We start from the raw sequence: 25875 nt of genomic DNA on the forward strand, positions 1-25875 counted from the left end.
GGAGTTTGAGACCAGCCTGACCAACATGGTGAAACCCCATCTCTACTGAAAATACAAAAAATTAGCCATGTGCCTGTAGTCCCAGCTACTCGGGAGGATGAGGCAGGAGAATCACTTGAACCCAGGAGGCGGAGGTTAGAGTGAGCTGAGATTCCGCCACTGCACTCCAGCCTGGGCAAAAGAGTGAGACTCCATCTCAAAACGAAAAACAAAACAAACAAACAAACAAACAAATGCCCCTGAGAAGGCTGTCTTTCCATTCTTAACACACCAGACAGAACTGAACTGAAGAGGTGGACATCAGCAACATCAGCCAGTCGATGGGGAGGTGAGTTAATGGGGAGGTAAGGCTGCTGTGCAGACTGGCCACTCGACTCTATTCCAGCCCACTTGCCCAGGGCCCCCTTCCAGAAGCTGGTACATTTCTTAGGCTCAACAGGATGCTGCTCAGACCTGTACTTCTGAGGATTTTCAGTAGACTGGCTTCTGCCAAGCTGCCTTGCAGATGAGGAAGGTAAAAGTAAAGTGCAGGCTGTTTTTCTGCCATCGTCACTCCTGCAGGCAAGCTGGCAATAGGGCCTTTCCTGGGCAGGGGAGCCCTTGTTGGGTCTTTAGCTTTGTGGGTGTCCATAACGGTGTACAGGTGTCCAGTCTGCTGGAGTGGGCTACGGCTGGGTGGTGTGTGCTCAGACTTGTGGTGGAGGCAGTAGTCAAGGAGTAGTTGTGACTTAAAAACAAACAAACGAACAGGGCTGGGTGTAGTGGCACACACCTGTAATCCAAGCTACTTGGGAGGCTGAGCCCAGGAGTCCAGGAGTTCCAAGCTATAGTGTGCAATGATCACACATCTGTGAATACCCACTGCACTCCAGCCTGGGCAATACAGCAAGACTTCAGATTACAAAAACAAAAACAAAACAATTATTTGTGTATTTATTTAGTTTGAGATGGGGTCTCGCTCTGTCACCCAGGGTAGAGTGCAGTGGTGCTATCTCAGCTCACTGCAACCTCTGCCTCCCGGGTTCAAGCGATTCTCCTGCCTCAGCCTCCCAAGTAGCTGAGATTATAGGCATGTGCCACTGCACCTGGCTGATTTTTGTATTTTTAGTAGAGATGGGGTTTCACCATGTTGGCCGGGATGGTTTCGAACCTCTGAGCTCAGGTGATCCACTCACCTTGGCCTCCCAAAGTGCTGGGATTACAGGCATGAGCCACCATGCCCTGCAAAAAACAATTTTTAATGGAAGAACATAAAAGGCCTGAGGAAAGCACATACATTCTGTATATATAATGATGATTTTTCATAAACTAAACACATCTGTGTAACCAGCACCCAGAACAAGATAGGAAACATCAGCTCCCCAGAAGCCCCTCTTGTGTCCCTGCGAGGCATGATCTTCTTCACAAGGGTGACACTCTCCTGACTTCTAACACCTTAGGTGATCTTCCACACTTTCTGTATATCCACACAAATGGAATTATGAAGTACATATTATATGTCTGACTTTACTCAGCAATGTTTGTAAGATTTATCCATATTGTTGCTTATAGTTGTAAATAGACGGTCTATTCTCATTGCTATATAGTTGTATGACTATAACACAATTTATCCCTTCAACAGTTGATAATCAGTTGAGGAGGGCTATCATTTGGGGGTGTCACTGTGAACATTCCAATGAAAGATTTGTGGTGAACATACATACAATTTATGCATTGCTGGGCTTGAGAGGGTGCGTATCTGTGTCTTTGATGGACATGGGGCATTGACTTCTTGATTTTCTGTCTTCTGGATGGTAACAGTGGTGGCTGCTCCTGTGGCCCATCTCATGGACATCTTCTGGGAGGATCCTGAGCACTGGGCCTGCAGCCACCCTCCATCATGCAGAGATGCTCCAGGCTACTAAACCACTGCAGAAAATCACATTTAAAAAGATAGATTCCAGCTGTGTGCAGTGGCTCACACCTGTAATGCCAGCACTTTGGGAGGCTAAAGTGGGTGGATCACTTGATGTCAGGAGTTCCAAACCAGCCTGGCCAACATAGCAAAACCTCATCTCTACTAAAAATACAAAAATTAACTAGGTGTGGTGGCTTGCGCCTGTAATCCTAGCTACTCCGGAGGCTGAGGCATGAGAATTGCTTGAACCCAGGTGGCAGAAGTTGCAGTGAGTGGAGATCGCGCCACTGCACTCCAGCCTGGATGACAAAGTGAGACTCTGTCTCAAAAAATAATAAATAAATAAATAAATAAATAAATAAATAAATAAATAGATTCCCACTATTCCCAGTATGGCCACATTCAGTTTATACTAATTTAAGCCTCCGTCATTTATATCCTCATTTATATTCTAATACTTTCTCAGGTGGATACATTTTTTTCTGCTAACCTCGTCCTCTTTTTCTCAAAGCTCTCTGCTTGCTTATGTATATTCCAACCTGTCCACGTTGTGCTTCAAGGCACTTTGCCAATAAGATGACATGGTACTTTTTCAAAGCACATTCCAGGTAGTGTGTTTATCTACTTTTATACAGTAGATTTTTTTTAACCTTACCAAAAAATATTTAAGTGAGTGAGAGTTATTTTTCTCTTCCTTTTGAGGGAGTTCGTGCTCTTGGCAGGCAGGTTGGCAGTCATTTAAAATGTCTAACTAGGCTGGGTGCAGTGGCTCACGCCTGTAATCCCAGCATTTTGGGAGGCTGAAGTGGGTGGATCACCTGAGGTCAGGAGTTTGAGACCAGCTGACCAACATGGTAAAACCTCGTCTCTACTAAAATTACAAAATTTGCTGGGCCTGGTGGTGGATGCCTGTAATCCCAGCTACTCGGTAAGCTGAGGCAGGAGAATCACTTGAACCCAGGAGACGGATGTTGCAGTGAGCTGAGATCCTGCCACTGCACTCTGGCCTGGGCGACAGAGCAAGACTCCGTCTCAAAAATAAATAAATAAATAAATAAATAAATAAATAAAATGCTTAACTAACATTTAAATACTGAAGAGCTGCCAGCAAGTACAAATGTCACCTGGCCTAAAGATATATATATATATATATATATATATATATATATATATATATATATATATATATTTTTTTTTTTTTTTTCATTTTCCTGGACCTCATTTTCACAAGCTTGAAAAATTGTAAATCTTCACCTTAATATAACAATTAACTTACAAGTATTTACTAAGTTGAGAATTGATTTTTAAATCTCAACACCATGCTGTACAAATTTGAATAGTAAGTACGAAAATGTGTGTATGAGGCGAGGCACAATGGCTCACACCTGTAATCCTAGCACTTTGGGAGGCTGAGGCAGGTGGATCACTAGGTCAGGAGTTTGAGACCAACCTGGCTAATATGGTGAAACCCCGTCTCTACTAAAAATACAAAAATTAGCCAGGCATGGTGGTGCATACCTGTCGTCCCAGCTACTCGGGAGGCTGAGGCAGAAGAATCGCTTGAACTCAGGAGGCAGAGGTTGCAGTCAGCCGTGATCACACCACTGCACTTCAGCCTGGGCAATAGAGCAAGACTCCGTTTCAAAAAAAAAAGAAAACGTGTATGAGTATGGTTTGGTAAATACACACATACGTTATGTACCCCGCTAATATTTATTAATTAAAAAGCAATTCTAGAGCTCATACTGGGAGCAGCAGTACCTCCCCCATGGAGAACACAGTGAGCTAGATGTCCCAGGCTCTGCCCTGAAGGGACTCACAGTCAGAAGTAAAATACAACACGCCCACACATAACTACAGTGCAAGAAAGAATGAGAAGAAAATCCATGTGGGCTAGACAGACAAAGTGACACTAAGGTTTAGGAGACAGGAGAAATTCCAGCTGGAGGATTGCATGTATTATGTGTGTAAGCGTGTGTATAATTATAATCCTCTAGCTGGAATACATATATGTGCACATATATATATATTTATGTATATTATGATGTTCTGACATCTTAAAAAACCCTCCCTGGGGCAGCCAATTCTTGGAGATAAGAAATAACAGGCTCAGGTTGGAGCATGCCTTTGACAGGCAAACAAACCAACCCAGAGCCAGCACTCCTCTATCTGGCCTGCAAACCCTAGCAGACGGCTCCTCTACCTCAATCATCCCAAGGCCAGGTAGTACTCCAGGCAACCAGGGACCATCCCTAGAGTCTAGAGCCCACCAGAATTATCCGCTCTAGCCAATCCTATACTGTCCATTCTGCCCTGCCTTGCGGTTCCTGTGGAAACCACCATAAAGGCCATGGCCTGACCCTTCCCTGACTCCTGTCTTCCACCTCCTGGCCACCCTGGTGTCTGCTGTGTGGCCTGTGTAGCGCGGCATGCCTCCTTTCTCTAGGACCGATGAGCATAATGCACTTTGCTCTCCCCAGTCTCTCCTTTGTTTCCTCTCATAGCCACACCTGACTGATGATTTCCTAAAAGAGTACAAAACAAGGATCAGGAAAGACTTTGTGGAGGTAATGTTGAGGGATGGATAGTATGAGTATAGAAAGTTTTCAAGATTGAGGCTGGGCGCGGTGGCTCATGCCTGTAATCCCATCAGTTTGGTAGGCCAAGACAGGCAGATCACCTAAGGTCAGGAGTTCGAGACCAGCCTGGCCAACATGGCGAAAACCCATCTCTACTAAAAATACAAAAATTAACTGGGCGTGGTGGCAGGCACCTCTAATCCCAGCTACTCGGGAGGCTGAGGCAGGAGAACCACTTGAACCCGGGAGGCGGAGGTTGCAGTGAACCGAGGTCACGGCACTGCACTCCAGCCTGAGCGAGACTCCGTCTTCAAAAATCAAAAACAATAAACAAACAACAGAAAGTATCCAAGATTAATAACTTGAAAAGGAAAAAGGGCTTGCTGTTGATGATTAAACAGACATGATATCATTGCTATATGACCTGGAAGCTGACTGTGGCAGTCACAGGATTGCAGATGTCATCTCATTCAGCTCCGAGATAAGGGATAAGTCACCTTGTGGCAGAGCCAGGACTTGGACCTACAACTGCGGATGCTCAGCCCTACACTCCTACCTCCATGTAGACTATTTCCTATGAATTGGAAAAATTATACTTTCTTGTCATATGAAATATTTTGAAAAGAAGTCTTATTTGTAATCCCAAGTCTTTTTGGAAAGTGAGTTAAGTATATAGATATCAATTAATAGGTTGAATGATGACATCTATAATAATTTATCAAATTCTGGCCGGGTGCAGTGGCTCCCACCAGTAATCCCAGCATTTTGGAAGGCCAAGGTGGGCAGATCACCTGAGGTCAGGAGTTCGAGACCAACCTGGACAACGTGGTGAAACCCTGTCTCTACTAAAAATACAAAAATTAGTAGGGCGTGATGGCGGGCACCTGTAATCCCAGCTACTCAGGAGGCTGAGGCAGGAGAATCGCTTGAACCTGGGAGGCAGAGTTTGCAGTGAACTGAGATTGCGCCATTGCACTCCAGCCTGGGTAACAAGAGCGAAACTCAGTCTAAAAAAAAAAGAAAAAGAAAGAAATCTCATTATCTCTGTTGTATAACAAATAATTTGTCTAGTCTTTGTCCTGAATTCCTGGTATGGAGACTCTAAAAACCCTTGGGGTTTTTTGAGTGGTAGGGCTTTTTTATGCTACTAAGGTAAAGGTGGAACCCTAGACAGCCTCAAGATGGGGGCTGGTTACCAAAAGACCCGCCCAGCCTGGTGATTAGAGGGTTGGGGAATTTGAGTCACCTGACCTTGAAGAGAGGAGGGGGGTCTGGAGGTTGAGATTAATCACAGGTTCAGTAGTTTAATCACTTGTGCCTACAAAATAAAATCCCAGTAAAAGCTCTAGAACCGGAGGCTTCCAGGGCCTCCTGGTTGGTGAACATGTTGATGTGCCAGGACGTGATGTGCCCTGATTCCACGAGGAAAGGCCACTGAAGCTCTGCATTTGGGACCCTCCCATATTTGTATGCTTTACAGTGAAGCTAATCATAAGCATTGCACTTTCCTGAGTCTGCCAGTTGTACTAGCAAATGATCAAACCTAAGGGGGTCATGGGAACTCCCAAATTTGGAGTCAGAGTACAATTGCCCTGAGGACCCTCTGAGACTTGTGGCTGGTGTCTGAAGGGGACTAGGGGTCTGTGGTGAACTTTGCCCTCAATCTGTGGCATCTGCACCAGCTCCAGGAAGTTAGTGTCGCAATTGAATTGCTGTACACCCAGCTGGTCAGGTCAGTTTGGGTGGAAAGAGAATGTCATATTATCCATTTAAAACTTGATGTCCAGCCGGGCGCAGTGGCTCACGCCTATAATCCCAGGACTTTGGGAGGCCAAGGCAGGCGGATCACAAGGTCAGAAGCTCGAGGCCAGCCTGGCCAATATGGTGTTTAGTAGAAACCCCGTTTCTACTAAAAATACAAAAATTATCTGGGTGTGGTGGCGGGCGCCTGTAGTCCGAGTACTCAGGAGGCTGAGGCAGGAGAATCGCTTGAACCCAGGAGGTGGAGGTTGCAGTGAGCCGAGATCACGCCACTGCACTCCAGCCTGGGCAACAGAGCGAGACTCTGTCTCAAAAAAAAAAACAAAACAAAACAAAGCAAAACAAAAACTTGACGTCCAAGATGAAACACACACTAATCATTTTAGATTTCTTTCCCTTCAAATTCTTTCAGTTCCCAACTCTTACCAGTTACCACAAATGTGATACCTTCTTTGTATTGTACTCGCGCTCTGTGGAGAACAGCATGGCTTGGAGGAGGGGAACTACGTTAGGCAGGGTTTTGATGGGAAATAGAAGGCACATCCACTGGAATTTTTTTTTAAAGTTTTGAACGAAGACATGATTTTAAAAAGAACAGACAGGGACGGTCGTGGTGGCTCACACCTGTAATCCCAGAACTTTGGGAGGCCATGGCGGGTGGAATCACCTGAGGTCAGGAGTTCAAGACCAGCCTGCCAACATGGCAAAAACCTCGTCTCTACTAAAAATACACAGATTAGCCGGACGTGGTGGTGCTCGCCTGTAGTCCCAGCTACTCGGGAGGCTGAGGCAGGAGAAACACTTGAATCCAGGAGGTGGAGGTTGCAGTGAGCTGAGATCGTGCTACTGCCCTCCAGCCTGGGTGACAGAATGAGACTCCATCTCAAAAAACAAAACAAAACAAAACAAAACAAAACAAAAAAACAGACAGAATGAAGGTAACAGGCAGGAAATGATGCTGAGGCGCCCAGGGGAACAGGCAGGAAATGATGCTGAGGCGCCCAGGGAAGCAGCTACCACCCTCAAGCCTGAGGTATCATCAGTGCTTGGGTGGCAGAGGACCTCAAGAAGGGGCCATCCAGCAGGACCTGCCATTGCAGAAGGACACAGCCCTGCAGAGCCACCGCCAAGAGGGAAGGGACAACCCCAACCTCTCTCTTCTCTCCTCTCCCAAAATAAAGCCAAGATAAAACGGAAACCCAGATGACTCAGCTCCCAGGTAGAGGATGAAGCTGGGGGAAATGAATGATTTAGCGTTGAAATGAGCATAGGTCATTGTAAGAGACTGCTAGATTCCAGGACTGTCACAGATGGGTTGATGTGCAAAAAGTCAGCCTGGCGCAATGGCTCACGTCTGTAATTCCAGCACTTTAGGAGGTCAAGGTGGGTGGATCACAAGGTTAGGAGTTCGAGACTAGCCTGGCCTATATGGGGAAACCCCATCTCTATTAAACATACAAAAATTAGCTGGGTGTGGTGGCGGGCACCTGTAGTCCCAGCTACTCAGGAGGCTGAGACAGCAGAATCACTTGAACTCAGGAAGCGGAGGTTGCAGTGAGCCGAGGTCGCGCCACTGCACTCCAACCTGGGCGACAGAGTGAGACTCTGTCTCAAAAAAAAAAAAAAAAAAAAAAAAAAAGAAAAGAAAAAGATACAATAGCTTTGACTGAATGTATTCAAAGATATAATAGCCAGGAATCTTTCCCAGTTGATGAAAAATACCAGTCACCGATCAGGAAGTCCAACAAATTGCAAGCAGAATAAATAAACAGAAACCAATAGAAACCCACACCTACACACATCATAATAAAATGTTAGAATGCCATTTACAAAGAGAAGACATTAAAAAAAGCCATAAAGAAAAAGATTATCTCCAAAAAAGGGTGATTAGGCTGAATTTGTATCTGAATCACATCACTGAGGGCCAGGAGGCCAGGGAATGAGAGCTTCAGAGCATGCACAGAAGTAGCTCTCAGCTGTCACAGAAGGTGGAGCTTCCAGGACTTTCTAGATGGAGGGCAAAATAAAGATATCTTTCAAACAAATAAAAATGGAGATAGTTTGCCTCCAACACAGTTACTCATTAAAGAACTATACTGGGGCTGATAAAGTAATCCCAGATGGAAATCCTGAGACTCAAATGGTGACGTGTATATTGGTACATCTATGTGGAAAAATCAAAAGAATATTGACTGCATAATACAATAATAACAACAACTCATGATGTTAAAAAGTAAGAGAGAACTAACATGGGAAGGAGGCTTAGATTAGCATAAAGATTATAACCAATATTTACTAAAACTAATTATTTGCACATAATACAAAGTCACAACCACGAATGCATGTTCATGAAGAAATAAAAGGACGAGTAAACAATTATGATTGTCCCTTTATGATTAAATATTCCTTTGCTGGCATGTTTACTTATTTTGTCATCTACCAGCAATCATTCACAAATAGGCTGTGGCAAAAGCCTAAGTGATAAGACACATTCATGGAGAAACTTGAAACTAATGATGCTCTAACATTTTCTGTAAATTGTAAAAATAATGTTTTGTCACTGACCTAGGTGTTTAATCTACTGTATAAAACTCCAGTGTTAAAAAAAAAAAAGAAACTCCAGTGTTCAGCAGAAGTGAAAGAGCCTCTTGGCATGTATTATTTTGTTTTATTTATATTTATTTATTTATTTTGAGATGGAGTCTCGCTCTGTTGCCCAGGCTGGAGTGCAGTGGTACCATCTTGGCTCACTGCAACCTCTGCCTCCCAGGTTCAAGTAATTCTCCTGCCTCAGCCTCCTGAGTAGCTGGGATTACAGGTGCATGCCACAATGCCCGACTAATTATTGTAATTTTAGTAGAGACAGGGTTTCACAATGTTGGCCAGGCTGGCCTCGAACTCCTGACCTCAGATAATCTGCCCACCTCGGCCTCCCAAAGTGCTGGGATTACAGATGTGAGCCACTGCGCCCAGCTAGCATATTGTATTTTAAGCAGGCATTTGTTCAATAATCCAACACCCATCAAGCACTGGAGTGAGTGGCAGATCCTCGCTGTGAGAGCGTTTTCCTAGTTCATGAGGAGAGCCAGATGCTACATCCAAAAAGGGAGCTGAGCCATAACTGGGTTGTCTGACCCTACCTCGTCTCAGATGGTCGGTGGGGGACACAGAGCAGAAGTCAGAAAACTGGATTGTGCAGATGAAGTGAGAGTACTCTGTGCCTCAAAAAGAATTCACTTGAAAAATATTACTGGATTCCAATTAGATGCCATGCACTTTCCCGGGTCCTAAGTTGCAAACATGAATAAGATATGCTGTCTAACTTTTCCCACTACTGGAAAGTGGTAAGTAAACACAGAATTGTATTACGGTTATTAAGTGCTATGGCATGAATGTTGGTATACTCCAAGAATTCTTATGTTGAAATCTTCACCCCAATGTGACGGTGTTAGGAGGTGGGGGCTTTGGGAGGTGATCAGGTCACAGTGGAGCCCTCATGACTAGAATTAGTGCCCCTACAGAAGAGGCCCCGAGAGCTCCCTCTCCTCTTCCTCCATGTGAGGATACAGAGAGAAGGCACCATCTGTGAACCAGGAAGTGAGCCCTTACCAGACACTGAACCTGCTGGCACCTTGATCTTGGACTTCCAGCCTCCAAAACTGTGAGAAATAAATGTCCGTTGTCTATAAGCCACCAAGTCTGTGACAATTTGTTCTAGCAGCCCAAATAGACTAGGACATTAATAATCTGATGATGGTTTAGAACTCTCATGGTTTTTTTCACTGAGAAGAGCATACCAAGATTTTTTTTTTCTATTAAAAATAATATGCCTTCTGATAGGATACACATTACTTCTATGAAAAGAAGAACACATTACTTCTATGAAATCTTTGCCAAAATTGCATAACCCAAAGGAGACAATGAGGAACTCTTGACAAACCCAGATGGAGGGACTTTCCTAATCCTGGCATGTACTCTTCAAAATGCCAATATTGTAGAGGACAGAGAGACTGTGGAGCTCTTCCAGATTAAAGGAGACCCAAGAAATATGACAACAGAATGCAACATGTGACTCAGACTTCTGCTATGAAGGCCATTATTAAGATAATGGCAAAATCTGAATAAGATCTGAAGATTAAAACAGTGTTGGCTGGGTGCAGTGGCTCACACCTATAATCCCAGCACTTTGGGAGGCTGAGGTGGGCGGATCTCCAGAGGTCAGAAGTTCAAGACCAGCCTGGCCAACATGATGAAACCCCGTCACTACCAAAAATATAAAAATTAGCCAGGCGTGTTGGTGGGCACCTATAATCCCAGCTATTCAAGAGGCTGAAGGGGTGGCCTGCCCCTCCACACCTGTGGGTATTTCTAGTCGGGTGGGACGAGAGACTGAGAAAGAGAGATAAGACACAGAGACAAAGTATAGAGAAACAACAGTGGGCCCAGGGGACCAGCGCTCAGCATACCAAGGACCTGCACCGGCACCGGTCTCTGAGTTCCCTCTGTTTTTATTGATTATTATCTTCATTATTTCAGTAAAAAGGAATGTAGTAGGAGGGCAGGGTGATAATAAGGAGGTCAGCAACAAACATGTGAGCAATAGAATCTATGTCATAATTAAGTTCAAGGGAAGGTACTATGACTGGACGTGCATGTAAGCCAGATTTATGTTTCTCTCCACCCAAACATCTCAGTGGAGTAAAGAATAACAAGGCAGCATTTCTGTAAACATGTCTCGCCTCCCACCATAGGGCGGTTTTTCTCTCATCTCAGAATTGAACAAATGTACAATCGGGTTTTATACCGAGACATTCAGTTCCCAGGGGCAGGCAGGAGACAGTGGCCTTCCTCTATCTCAACTGCAAGAGGCTTTCCTCTTTTACTAATCCACCTCAGCACAGACCCTTTACGGGTGTTGGGCTGGGGGATGGTCAGGTCTTTCTCATCCCACAAGGCCATATTTCAGACTATCACATGGGGAGAAACCTTGGACAATACCCCACTTTCAAGGGCAGAGTTCCCTGCGGCTTTCTGCAGTGCATTGCGCCCCTGGTTTATTGAGACTAGAGAATGGCGATGACTTTTACCAAGTATACTGCTTGTAAACATTTTGTTAACAAGGCACATCCTGCACAGCCCTAGATCCCTTAAACCTTGATTTCATACAACACATGTTTTTGTGAGCTCCAGGTTGGGGCAAAGTGGCTGGGGCAAAGCTACAAATTAACAACATCTCAGCAAAGCAATTGTTCAAAGTACAGGTCTTTTTCAAAATGGAGTTTCTTATGTCTTCCCTTTCTAGATAGACACAGTATCAGTCTGATCTCTCTTTCTTTTCCCTACAAGAGGCTGAGGCAGGAGAATCGCTTGAACCCGGGAGGCGGAGGTTGCAGTGAGCTGAGATCACACCACTGCACTCCAGTCTGGGTGACAGAACAAGACTCCATCTCAAAAACCAACCAACAAACAAAAAATAGTGTTGCGACGATGCTAGTTTCCTTATTCTGATCACTGTTCTGTGATTGTGTAAGAGGATGTCCTTCCTGCGAGGAAATGCATGCTAACTATCTGGGCTAAAGAGCATCATGACTGTACATGACTGTACTTTCAAAATACAAGAAAGAGATAGAGGAGGATAAAGTAAATGTGGCAAAAGGTTAACAGTTGGAAGCACGATGAAAGATAACATGGGAGGTCTTTGTGCTCTTATTACAACTTATATTTAAACAGGCAAAAGAGTTAAGAGTTAGGCTTTTCAAGGATTCCTAGCACTCACTAGAAGCAAAATGAGGCTCATTTAAAGAAAGGGGTAAACACTACGTTTGCTCTCTGAAAATAGTTTCAAATGAGGCATAACTACTCCCCGAAACTTTCATTTTCATGTTCCATCAGAGCAAGCTCAGGTTCCAAATTCCCCACCAGGTGTGCATGTTATGTGTTTGGACTGGTGTGGGGTTGCTTTGTTTTTCCTGAAGGTGAGCTCCAAAGTGGAGCTGAGCCATCTACAAAAAGATAGCAGTGATCTAATTGCTGGTCTCCTGCATGACCTCTTCCCATTGACTAGCTTAAAAATCAGTTAGATTTAGCTTTCAAGCATGTGTCAATAAAATAAATTCCAGATTTCCCAGGTAATATATTTCCAAAGAGTAGGTTTGCACAGTAGTACAAAAACAAAAATTGTTTTTGAATGGAGTCTCAGTAATAGGGAGCCTGTTTTTCAATTCTCTTTTAGATTCTTTTAACGGCTCATTCATGGGGGCTTGATCTCAGCTGCAAAGACTGAAAAAAAGAAACAACCCCACAGTTCTAAATGCCTAGGAAATTGCATTGCTGAAGTGATTCTCTTGTAACACTCTCTGGTTCTTTTGCCAACCCCCTGAGATGATGCTTCTTGGCATACATAGAGACTGGAGACTTTTCTCCTACCTCCAGTAGAGGTCTGGCCTTGCTCCAAAACAAAGCCTGCACCCAGCAGATGTTGCTGCTAAGAGACGTCGCCTGGACTTTCTACACAATATTCTCTGACAGAAGGGGCTAGTTGACTAATGCTTAGAATGATTTTTGTCATTGTATATTCCTTTCATATGTCAAGGTAGTTTCATCTCCAGCACCTACTCATTTGCAGATATTCACTCATATTTTTCGTTCTGAATTGAGAAATTGATAGTAATCAGTGATGGATTTAGCATTAGGCCAAATCTACACTAAGCAAATAAGCAGGTGTTTCTCTACCTCAGTAGATATTGTGGAAAAGAGAATTCCTCTAAAGTCTTCTGCAGGCTTTAATAAGTGTTTATTGGACCCCAGAAATCATATAAGAAATATTGGCTCAGCTGGACGCGGTGGCTCACGCCTGTAATCCCAGCATTTTGGGAGGCCAAGGTGGGCAGATCAAGAGATCAAGAGATCTAGACCATCCTGGCCAACATGGTGAAACCCCGTCTCTACTAAAAATACAAAAATCAGCTGGGTGTGGTGACACATGCCTGTAATCCCAGCTACTCGGGAGGCTGAGGCAGGAGAATCGCTTGAACCCAGGAGGCGTTGGTTGCAGTGAGCCGAGATTGCACCACTGCACTCCAGCCTGGCAACAGAGTGAGATTCCATTTCAAAAAATAAAAAATAAAAAAAAATAAAAAAATGGGCTGTAATCTCAAGGCTTTTCATAAAATGCTGTTAAGAGGTCATTTATGTTTTCTAACAATACTAGATTTTTTTTTTTTGAGGCAGAGTCTCACTCTGTCACCCAGGCTGGAGTGCAGTGGTGATCTTGGCTCACGGCAACCTCCACCTCCTGGGTTCAGACAAGTCTCCTGCCTCAGCATCCTGAGTAGCTGCGATTACAGGCGCATGCCACCATGCCTGGTTAATTTTTGTAATTTTAGTAGAGATAGGGTTTCACCATATTGGTCAGGCTGGTCTCAAACTCCTGACCTCAGGTGATCCACCCACCTCGGCCTCCCAAAGTGTTGGGATTACAGGCATGAGCCACTGCGCCCAGCCATAATACTAGATTAAGGTCAGAAAAGAACCCAAGTAACTTCCTTCTCCGCAAAGCTGTGAATATCTCTTTCCTTCTTCTGCCTTCTATTTTTTTTTTTCTGAAAGCATGCACTAAGTAGAATGGAGGAGTCCCACGAATGCTTAGAAATGATATGCTTCCAGCCCAGCACAGTGGCTCATGCCTGTAATCCCAGCACTGTGGAGGCCAAGGCGGGCGGATCACCTGAGGTCAGGAGTTTGAGACCAGTCGGGCCAACATGGCGAAATCCCGTCTCTACTAAAAATACAAGAAGTAGCCAGGCATGCTGGTGCATGCCTGTAATCCCAGCTACTTAGGAGGCTGAGACAGGAGAATCGCTTGAACCTGGGAGGCAGAGGTTGCAGTGAGCCAAGATCGTGCCACTGCACTCCAGCCTGGGCAACAGAGTGATACTCCATCTTAAATAAATAAATAAATAAAACCATTCCTTTTGTTTTCAAAACCCAAGTCTCCTTTAATATTTAATGTTTCCTCACAATCACTTTGACCAGTAAGCATGTGTTTCAGGGTCCCTTTTCTGGACAGACTTAAGCCTGTGGCGGAGAAGCTTATTCTCTGAGGGCCTCGCGGGACTGCAGCACAGCAGCAGGGTCCACTGTTCTCAGCTCCGGACAGTGCCTTCCAACTGCTCTTAGGAGTCCCGGCCACACTCAAGTATAAAGTAGAAGGCTCAGATTCCTGGGCTCTGTCTTCCTTCTGTCTGACCGCTGTTTACTGAACAGTCATACCGAGTCCCTAAGCCTGGAGACTGAGCATCTGCTGTTCTCAATCAGGCCCAGGTGTAGCAGGAAGGACCGAATCCTATGACTGAGTGCCTGTCCACAACCCCAGCCTTTCCTTCCAAATCGACTCTTAAAACCTCCTGACACTTGGAGGCTATGGCTTTTAGGTTGGGCTTACTAAAGGATAGAAATGGAGGGTAGATCTTCGAGAATTAAAGTGGGGACAAGATAGATATTTGGGATGTCTAAAAAGTACATAACTACAAATAATGGCCTCCAAATATAGACTGGGCTGAGTATATACCAAAATAATTGAAAGCAGAGACTTGGGTTTTGAAAACAAAAGGAATGGTTTTATTTATTTGTTTGTTTGTTTGTTTGTTTGAGATGGAGTATTGCTCTGTTGCCCAGGCTGGAGTGCAGTGGAGCGATCTTGGCTCACTGCAACCTCTGTCTCCCAGGTTCAAACGATTCTCCTGTCTCAGCCTCCCAAGTAGCTGGGATTACAGGAATACACCAGCATGCCCATTCATAGCAGCATTATTATTCGCAGTAACTAAAAGATGGAAACAACCCAAATGGATGGATGAACGGATAAGCAAAATGTGGTCCATACACACAATGGAATGTTATTCAGCCTAAAAAAGAAGGAAATCCTGTCACATGCCACAACACGGGTGACCCTTGAAGACATGATGCTGACTGAATAAGTCAGTCACAAAAAGGCAAGCACTGCTTGATTACACTTATATGAGGAGCCTACAGTAGTCAAATTCATAGAGACAGAAAGTACAATGATGGTTTCCAGGGGCTAGGAGGAAGGGGCAAAAAGGAGTTATTTTTAATGAGTGAAGAGTTTCAGTTTGGAAGGATGGAAAAGTTCTCCAGATGCATGAATCCAAATTAGGTTCATGCACTGCATCTGGCTGATGTATCTCTTGAATCACTTTTAATTTACAGTTCTTGCTCCACCCCATCACCATCTTTTTTTTTAATACCTTGCATTGCACTGTGACAATTGCACAATGTGAATGTATTTTATTTTATTTTGAGATGAAGTTTCACTCTTGTTGCCCAGGCTGGAGTACAATGGTGCAATCTCCATTCACTGCAACCTATGCCTGCTGGGTTCAAGCCATTCTCCTGCCTCAGTCTCCCCAGTAGCTGGGATTACAGGCGCCTGCCACCATGCCCGGCTAATTTTTGGGTTTTTAGTAGAGACGGGGTTTCATCATGTTGACCAGGCTGGTCTTGAACTCCTGACCTTGTGATCTGCCCACCTTGGCCTCCCAAAGTGCTGGGATTGCAGGAGTGAACCAATTTTTTTTGTATTTTAATAGAGACAGGGTTTCACCATGTTGGCTAGGCTGGTCTCGAACTCCTGACCGTGTTATCCACCTGCCTTGGCCTCCCAAAGTGCAATTATAAGTGTGAGCCACTGCACCTGGCTGCTTTCAGCTTTATTTTTCCTAATTTAACTTTCAGGTATCATCATCTTTTTCCTCCCAAGCTTTCAAATTTCTACCACTAGCATTTAACTGATTATTGACACTTAACAAAACCAGATTCATTTACCACTTACTCTGGACTGTAGTGCTATGTGTGCTAAAAAGCGCCAAACAAAGTTCTTGGTCTCAGTAATTTATAACCTAGATGGATAGGAAAGTCATGTGCACATAGAAAGGTAACTAACAAGGCCGGGAGCGGTGGCTCACGCCTGTAATCCCAGCACTTTGGGAGGCCGAGGCGGGCGGATCATGAGGTCAGGAGATTGAGACCATCCTGGCTAACACGGTGAAACCCCGTCTCTACTAAAAATACAAAAAATTAGCTGGGCATGGTGACGTGCACCTGTAGGCAACAGAGCAAGACTCCATCTCAAATAAAAAAAAAAAAAGAAAGGTAACTAACAATATCAGTGCTGAAGGTGAGATATACAAACTTGTGTGTTATTGATTACCACAGAAGGGAAAATTTTTTAAGATTGGAAGTGTTAGAAGAGATGAGACTTAGGCTAAATCATGTGATGACTGAATGCTTGGTTCCAGCATAGGACAGTGTGATGTATGCACTCAAAGTCTGGAATCTGCATCTCATATTGGAAGATAAAGAATAGTCTTGGCCGGGTGTGGTGGCTCACGCCTGTAATCCCAACACTCCAGAAGGCTGAGGCAGGTGAATTGCTTGAGCTCAGGAGTTTGAGATCAGCCTGGGCAACACAGTGAGACCCTGTCTCTACTAAAATTTTTTTTTAAAACATTAGCCGGGTGTGATGGCTCACATCTATAAGTCCCAGCTACTCAGGAGGCTGAGGTGGGAGGATTGCTTGAGCTCAGGAATTTGAGGCTGCAGTGAGCTGTGACCGTGCCACTGCATTCTAGCATTCCAGCCTGGGCGATAGAGCAAAACTCTTTTCAAAAGAAAAAAAAAAAAAGATCATCTCCCAACTTGGCTAGAAAAGCATGTACTAGTACATAAATGTTCCATAAACATAGCATAAACTCCAGTTCAAATTGTCAGAGGCGTTTGAACCAGAGCAACTCCATCTTGAATAGGGGTTGAGTAAAATGAGGCTGAAACCTACTGGGCTCTATTCCCAGACGGTTAAGCATTATAAGTCACAGGATGACATAGGAGGTCGGCACAAGATACAGGTCTTAAAGACCTTGCTGATAAAGCAGGTTGCAGTAAAGAAGCCTGCCAAAGGCTGGGCGCAGCGGCTCACACCTGTAATCCCAGCACTTTGGGAGGCCAAGGCTGGCAGATCACCTGAGATCAGGAGTTTCAGACCAGCCTGGCCAACGTGGTGAAACCCCATCTCTACTAAAAATACAAAAAAAAAATTAGCCAGGCGTGGTGGCACGTGACTGTGGTCCCAGCTACTTGGGAGGCTGAGGCAGGAGAATCACTGGAACCCAGGAGGTGGAGGTTGCAGTGAACTGAGATCACACCTCTGCACTCCAGCCTGGGCCACAGAGTGAGACTCCCTCTCAAAAACAAACAAACAAACAAAAAACCCTGTTTCCTGAATGCTTGGGGAGACTCATTTGAGTAATAATAGAACTCTGGGCTGGGCTCAGTGGCTCACACCTGTAATCCCAGCCCTTTGGGAGGCCTAGGCAGGCGGATCACGAGGTCAGGAGATCAAGACCAGCATGACCAACATGGTGAAACCCCATCTCTACTAAAAATACAAAAATTAGCCGGGCATGGTGGCAGGCGCCTGCAATCCCAGCTACTCGGGAGGCTGAGGCAGGAGAGTCGCTTGAACCCAGGAGGCGGAGGTTTCAGTGAGCTGAGATCGCACCACTGCACTCCAGCCTGGGCGACAGAGTGAGACTCTGTCTCAAAAAAAAAAACAAAAAAACAAAAAAAAACTAAAAACTTAGCCAGGCGTGGTGGTGCACGCCTGTAGTCCCAGCTACTCCGGAGGCCGAGGCAGGAGAATCTCTTGAACCCAGGAGGTGGAGTTTGCAGTGAGCTGACATCACGCCACTGCACTCCAGCCTGGGCAACAGAGTGAGACTCGTCTCAAAAAAAAAATCAGACTCCAGTCTCCTGCACAGCTGACTCTGCACGAATTTCTCTTTCACTATTGCAATTTCCCTGTGTTGATGAATCTACTCTGTCTAGGCAGCTGGCGAGGTGAATGCCTCGGGCGGTTCCAATGGTATTGAAAACCATGGCCTCTTATCAGATCACTAAGGTAGAGAATATGGTTAAAGAAAAGTAGTTTGTGTTAGAGTTGGGGTTTTTCAGAATCTAAAGAAAAATTGCTTAAAAACTGTCTGCAAAATAGCTCCAAGGGAAAAAAAGAATAGAAAAGAAAGTGGGCTTTTGTAGTAACCACATTCAGAACTGTGAACTGGCTCCTGTGTTCTCTTTATCCCCAAGGGCATGTGAAACACTGTTTTCCCGGGCAGTCACAGCAAGGCTGCCTGGATGAGGCCGCTGGGACTGGAATGTCAGCCTGCGGCCTGCCCTCCACTTTTCTTAGCGGAGCTGTCATCTAAACCTGGACCTTGTTTTCTGCCCTGCCTCCCCCCGGCTGCTTGTCAATATTTGCTTTCTAGATCACAAGATCCTAAGCCCCAAGGCCTGTCACTTTAAACAACCAGAAGAGGAAGTCAACAATAACCACTCTGGTGAAGCTGTCTACTTTAGGGACGTTTCCCTAGTTGGTTTGCTCCTGCGAGTTCCCACTCCCAGGAAAAGCACTGCAGTGCTAACTGAGCAGCTTTGTTTGCCTCCCGACTGTGTGGCCCCCAGCAACTATGCCAGGATTCACAAGCCAGCGGGATCCTAAATGTCTGTGTGCATGGCAGCAAGGTTGCTCTTCAGCCTGTTGGCAAAATTCTCCCACAGCACTTTTATTTCTCAGGCACGCCTTCATGGGCCCCAGAAATTAATTCCTTGACGGCTGTTGTGGAGCCTTAGTTGCCAGCGAGAGGCAACCAAGGTTTAAATGTAAATTAGCTTACAGAGTGAAGGGAGGTTGCAAATACCCCTCCACTTAGTACGTAAATTCAGCAACCTTAATCTAGAACAGCAAGGAGTCTTAGAATTGGCACAGAGTGGGCACCCAGCCCCTTCTGGCCAAATCCCTGATGAGAGATGCCTGAAATTCACCCTTTCAGCCTGAGATTTTGTTCTCTGTGTAAAGCCAATTGTTGCTGTCATTAGTAAGCGAAACTACGCCTTACAAAAGTAAATGCGGGTCCTCCTCAGTTTGCTTCTGAAAGAAGGCTTTCCGGGGAGATGTGCTAAACAAACCAAGCCTGGCTGTACCTGCAAGCTCAGGCTGCCACATGGTCTGAAGCTTGGATTCCTGAGAGGTGCGACAGGCTCAGGGTCCCCTGCCTGGACTCAAGAGTCAGCCTGTCTAGACTGGAATTCCCGACCCTTCACTTAAATATGTGGACAAACCTCTTTCTGCCTCAATTTCCTCATCAGTCAAAAATAGTTATTACTAGTGCCTACCTCCTAGAGCTGCTTGGAGGTTAGAATCTGTGAACATAGATGAAGCTGTGTCTATACCCGGTAAGTCCAGCATGAGTGTTCATTGTAATTATTTGATTATGGCTGTCTCCCACATACTGGCTCTCAGGGGTGCGCCATTCCCATTTCAAACTCTATGCTCGGAGTGTAGACAAAACTCTCAACGCAGCCAAAAAAGGCTGAAATGCTCATGAAAACTTCACAGACACCAGGGAGAACTCAAGGGAGCTAAAGTCAAAGGAAACGTGAAGCCTGACACCAGCTGAGCTCTACCGGCTGGGGCCGGAATGCTGTCCCCAACCTTCCCTCCTCCGGCATTTGGTCCTTCTGAGGCAATCTACCATGCTCTCACCCTAGGCTATGTTCTGTTAGTTGATTTTATTTCTGGTCTTCTCCCAGGTGACTGTCCCTTATCCGTAAGGCAAGACCTACTTCACCCAGAAAGTGGCACTGGCTTCAGACTAGGACCAGGGTCAGGTGTGTGAGACGCTCACATCGGGTGCAAAATGTAAGGGGGCAAGAGGCAAAAAGTCATCCAGATAAATGATATTTTGATGCAATATTTTAAAAAATTAAATGAATTTTTAAAAATCACAAATAAAATATTACTATATTAAATGCAGACAGGCTCTGACTGCATCATGCCCAACCACACTGGAGCCTGAGGCAAAAGGAGTAATGCTCTCCCCTGTACTCATGTTTGCATGTATTTGTAAACGGCTAATAATTTTTTTTTTTTGAGATGGAGTCTTGCTCTGTCGCCCAGGCTGGAGTGCAATGGCACAATCTCGGCTCACTGCAAACTCTGCCTTCTGGGTTCAAGTGATTCTCCTGCATCAGCCTCCCGAATAGCTGGGATTACAGGCGACTGCCACCATGACTGGCTATTTTTTTTTTTTTTTTTTTTGTATTTTTTGTAGAGATAGGGTTTCACCATGTTGGCCAGGCTGGTCTTGAACTCCTGACCTCAAGAGATCCACCCACGTAGGCCTCCCAAAGTGCTGGGATTACAAGTGTGAGCCACTGCTCCCGGCCACAAATGGCTAATAATTTTAAGAAAATATTGTTGGAAGGGTTTGCTTCCATCAAAGCCAGGAAAGTAAAATGGTAATTCTATTTTGGGTGTAAGCAAAATGTTTACATTGAAAACAATACTAGGAGTTTTAATAAACTTGTTTTTCAAATTTTCAGTATTTTTTCACTACCTCAATGTTCTATGGAAGTTTTTAAAATCGTGGAAGAAATACATAAAACATCTGTAGATGAGATGCAGTTTTTCCCTTTGTCTGATCCACAGGGCAGGGTGCTGGGCTCTGCTTCCCAGCCCAGACCTTCCTGTGCGTGATCCTTTTGGGAAGTGTCAGCCACTCAATGGCTCTCCTCACTTTTTTTTTTTTTTTTTTTTTTTTTTTGAGATGGAATCTCGCTCTGTCGTCAGGCTGGAATGCAGTGGCATGATCTTGGCTCACTGCAACCTCCACCTCCTGGGTTCAAGCGATTCTTCTGCCTCAGCCTCCTAAATATCTGGGACTACAGGCGTGTGCCACCACGGCCAGATAATTTTTGTATTTTTAGTAGAGACGGGGTTTCACCGTGTTGGCCAAGATGGTCTCGATATCTTAACCTTGTGATCCGCCCACCTCAGCCTCCCAAAGTGCTGGGATTACAGGCGTGAGCCACCACACCCGGCCCTCTCCTCACTTTTTTTATTTTTTTGAGATGGAGTCTCACTCTGTCACCCAGGCTGGAGTGCAATGGCGTGATCTCGGCTCACTGCAATCTCCGCCTCCCGGGTTCAAGTGATTCTCCTGCCCCAGCCTCCCTAGTAGCCGGGATTACAGTTGCCTGACACCATGCCCAGCTAATTTTTTGTATATTTGGTAGAGATGGGGTTTCACTATGTTGGCCAGGCTGGTCTCGAACTTCTGACCTCAGGCGATCCACCCGCCTCAGCCTCCCAAAGTACTGGGATTACAGGCATGAGCCACCCCGCCCGGCTCGGCTCTCCTCACTTAAACAACATTAGAGCCAGAGAAGCAAAACTAGGCTTGCTTGTATGCCCTTGCTTCTTGAAAGTCTTTGGCAATCTGGTCTGACCAAGAATTTGAGAACAAGCATCATTCCACAAATGCCCGTTAGCTGCCTCACTCAGTGCCCACTGAGGCCTGGCTCTGGGGTGATGTGTCACACACCCTAACCCTTTGCTGAGCTGCTTAAGTATGTTGGAGGAGGCAGAAAATAAACAAGTGGGCCAATTAGCAGTAATCACACATTAGGAGGGGTTACAGGATGGAAACAGAGAGGGTGCAAGAACTAAGTGGCCAAGGTTGGCTTCACTGAGAGCATGAGAGGCACAGCCCCGCAGAAGGGATAGTGACCGCTTGGGTCCTCGGGTGGGAATGCTTGGCGTGGGCTGGGAGCTGAAGGGAGAAGAATGTGAACACCGAACCACTGAACCAACAGCAGAGAACTCAAAGGCAGGAAGGAGGCTTGGCTGGCTGCAGCCTGGCAGGGATCTGTGGACAACATTCTCTGTGCAGTGGGAGTCCCTGGAAGATTTTAAGCAGCAGAAAGACACCATCTGATTTACACTTTTTTTTGAGGCAGTTTCACTCTTGTTGCCCAGGCTGGAATGCATGATGCAATCTCGGCTCACTGCAACCTCCGCCTCCCAGCAGTTCTCTTGCCTCAGCCTCCCAAATAGCTGGGAATACAGGCATATGTCATGATGCCCGGCTAATTTTGTATTTTTAGTAGAGATGGGGTTTCACTATGTTGGCCAGGCTGGTCTTGAATTCCTGACCTCAGGTGATCCACCCGCCTTGGCCTCCCAAAGTGCTGGGATTACAGGTGTGAACCACTATGCCCAGCTGATTTACATCTTTTTTTTTTTTTTTTTCTGAGACGGAGTCTTGCTCTGTTGCCCAGGCTGGAGTGCAGTGGCGTGATCTTGGCTCACATCAACCCCTGCCGCCTGGGTTCAGGCAATTCTCCTGCCTCAGCCTCCCGAGTAGCTGGGATTACAGGCACGTGCCACCACTTCGGGCTCATTTTTGTATTTTTAGTAGAGATGGGTTTTCAGCATCTTGGCCAGACTGGTCTTGAACTCCAGACCTTGTGATCCACCCATCTTGGCCTCCCAAAGTGCCGGGAGTGTGGAGTGCTGGGAGTGTCTGCTGTGCGGAGGATGGACTGGTTGCGGGTGAGAGGGCTGGATGTATAGGTAGGACAATCAGGTAGGTGGCTGCAGTCACAACAACGGCGACCTGGACCAGTTGACGGCCTGGTGCTCGGTAACTACTTTCACCCCAAAAAGACAAAACGGTAATAGATAATGCTCACTAACAGTTATAATTTTCAGTATTTATTGCAAACTAGGAAATAAACACCTGATTACCAAACCATTTAAAGAATGAGAAAAAGCAAGATTCATCAAAGCTGGTAAAAGCAAAACTGAAAAATTGATTGCAAAACTATAGTGGTTTGATTGGCTCCATGACTAAAGTCCTGGAGACTAAATGAATAAAGCTTAAGTTGAAGCTTTCTAATATGAGGTATGTGTTCCTGAAAATGGTACTTTAAATCTATTGTAGGGATTTAATATTTAAAGGTATTATGAATTTCTTTTTCTTTTTCTTTTTTTTTGAGACAGAGTCTCACTCTGTCGCCCAGGCTGGAGTGCGGTGGCGTGATCTCGGGTCACTGCAACCTCTGCCTCCCGGGTTCAAGCGATTCTCCTGCCTCAGCCTCCCAAGTAGCTGGGATTACAGGCGTTCACCACCACACCCGGCTAATTTTTGTATTTTTAGTAGAGATGGGGTTTCACCATGTTAGCCAGACTGGTCTCAAACTCCTGACCTCAGGTGATCCGCCTTCCTCGGCCTGCCAAAGTACTGGGATTACAGGCATGTGCCACCATGCCCAGCCAGTATTTTGAATTTTATACCTTCCTAAAGTGAAGATTTTCTGTAAAGCATGTGATTACTTCCTTGATTATCTCTTGAGAAAGTTTCAAGTTTTTGGTTTCTCATTTTCTTAAGACCTGATTTCTAGAACACAAATTTTCTTTAAGAAAAATTCCCTCTGATGTGTTTAAAGAAAAACATTGGCTACTTCTGCAAAAATGAATCTTGGAAAGCCATTGCAACAATAAGTTAGCCCATTGGAGGCCACGGCCCCACCCTTACTGGCACGTTTTACTAGACATAACGAAATGATAATTCCAGGCTGCAATGATCCTAAAGTTTCTCAGAACAGTCTCAATTTTGGATATTCCTCGTGGGACAGTAATATGGGTGACTTTCTTTTCTCAATTGACTCACAGATATTTGTGTTCCTTTGTATTTTGTAGGAAACAAAAGTCGCTGAGATGATGGAAATCCATAAGGCTCATCATCATACGTTCTGGTGAGGCTACAGCACACACAGCATGAATCGGGTTTGGAGAATGGAGCCTATGCCACACAGATAGGAATTTAATCTGGGGAATTATCAGCAGCTGACAGAGCAAACAACGGGAAGGTAAGGCATCCCAGAGGTTAGTCATTGCAGGAAGCCGCTAGTCTCCCAAGGCAGAAAGACAAAAAGTGGAGGTGAAGCCAGGTGTCCAAAAGCCAGGACCACCTATGTGAGCCAGGACTATGGGGGAGGGCCTGCCCGGGCAGAGCTGAAGCACTGAGGAGAGACAGCTGGAGATGCTATCTGAGTGGGGAGACCGGGCAGGGGTCCCACTTTCCCTCCTTACCAATCTGTCACCAGTGCCTCCCACAGGACCACTGATGTGGTTTGACTGTGTCCCCACCCAAATCTCATCTTGAATTGTAGCTCCCATAATCCCCGTGTGTTGTGGGAGGGACCCAGTGGGAGATCATTGAATCATGGGCGGAGCTTCCTCCGTGCTGTTCTTATGGTAGTGAAGAAGTCTCATGAAATCTGATGATTTTATAAGGGGTTTCCTCTTTCTCTTGGCTCTCATTCTCTCTTTTCTGCCACCATGCTAAACGTGCCTTTTGCCTTCTGCTATGATTGTGAGGCCTCCCAGCCATGTGGACCTGTGAGTCCAATAAACCTCTTTTTCTTTATAAATTACCCGGTCTTGGGTATGTCTTTATCAGCAGCATGAAAACGGACTAATACGACAACCTAGCAGGAAGCTGGCGGGGGAGTCTGGGAAATGCAGTCTTGAGGGACAGTCCCCAGTGGTGCAGGGCAGAGAGTGGAGGTAAATGGCTGGCACAAGCATGCCCTTGCTGCCCAGTTTCCATTCTTGTAGTTCTACCCGTATTTAACTCCTGCCAGGACCAATTTCTCCTTCATACACCAACTTCTCCTTCATACATCCTCTCCCCACAAAGGGAGAGGCAAAGTCCCAGCAACCCCTGTACCTATCTCAAAATGAGTTACAAGGTAATAATGAGAGGGTTCACTACCATTTCCACCCCTTGATTCCTGGGCCTGTGAATGTCTTCTGTGGAAGAAACAATACCACATATTACTCCCTGGCTCATGGCATCCTGTAGGGCTTGGCTCCTAGATGGTTCCATAACTGAATATACATAAGACTGGGCTCAAGCAAGTTCAGAAAGTACAAGTATTGAGCAGGTGGCCCAGTGTTCCATGACACCTACTCCTGCTGCATTGCTCTCCCAAACAAATGGAAGCTCTTTATGACCATACAAGAGGAGAATGAAAGCTGGGGTCTAGTTTACAATTAGGTCTACATAATATGTTGGCACCAACAAGAAATAGACTGCTGTTGCACCAAGCACCTCTCAAGGGTGGCCCTGAAGAACAGTGGTGAAGAAAAATATTCCCAATGGACAAAACTTTGAGCCCTTTCCCTAAAAGGAGCAGTCACCAGAGGTGAGGATCTGTGCTGACTCATACGCCTTGGCTAATGATTTGAGCGGTTGGCTGGGGACTTAGAACAAAATTGGAAGATTTATGACAAGGAGGCCTGGGAAGAAGTCAGATCTTTCAGAATGGGGAGAGCATGATGATGTTTGTGTCCTGCATGACTGTTTCCCAACGGCATCCACCGCAGAGGCTTTCAGAAGTCAGATGAACAAGATGATGGCGATGATGATTCCTGCTACTCCCTGCCCCAGCTTGCTTCATGGTCTGTGTACAAAATGGCCCTAGCAATGAGATGAAGGTTGCACATGTGCTCAGCAGTGCAGCCCCACTCTCACCAGGGCTGACCCAGCTATTACCCCTGCTGACAGCCCAACCTGCAGTGACAGGGGCCAATGCTTCCTCCCCAGCACAGTACCATTCCTGAGAGCAGGTGGTGTGTGGCAGCTGCACGGTAGTGGGTTGCTTACATGAGACCCTTCCATCATTGGCAGCATTTGTCCTTACTACATTAGACAACTA

At 45.6% G+C, this 25875-nt stretch overlaps 1 protein-coding gene across 1 annotated transcript in view, besides 3 other annotated features; it reads left to right on the forward strand.

Annotated features, from left to right (window-relative positions):
* The window catches only part of RANBP2 (RAN binding protein 2), a 1122820-nt gene that overhangs the window by 906789 nt on the left and 190156 nt on the right, over nucleotides 1-25875 (forward strand). The window lies entirely within an intron of this gene.
* Nucleotides 11609-11798: a silencer, noted in NCBI's record as "silent region_11863". NCBI's record gives its function as "represses an Ori minimal core promoter by ATAC-STARR-seq in GM12878 lymphoblastoid cells {active_cell/tissue: GM12878}" and the evidence as "EXISTENCE:reporter gene assay evidence [ECO:0000049][PMID:35858748]".
* Nucleotides 12199-12308: an enhancer, noted in NCBI's record as "active region_16367". NCBI's record gives its function as "activates an Ori minimal core promoter by ATAC-STARR-seq in GM12878 lymphoblastoid cells {active_cell/tissue: GM12878}" and the evidence as "EXISTENCE:reporter gene assay evidence [ECO:0000049][PMID:35858748]".
* Nucleotides 12603-12742: an enhancer, noted in NCBI's record as "active region_16368". NCBI's record gives its function as "activates an Ori minimal core promoter by ATAC-STARR-seq in GM12878 lymphoblastoid cells {active_cell/tissue: GM12878}" and the evidence as "EXISTENCE:reporter gene assay evidence [ECO:0000049][PMID:35858748]".

Source organism: Homo sapiens, chromosome 2 (genome assembly GCF_000001405.40).
Source record: "Homo sapiens chromosome 2, GRCh38.p14 Primary Assembly".
Lineage (NCBI taxonomy): Eukaryota > Metazoa > Chordata > Mammalia > Primates > Hominidae > Homo > Homo sapiens.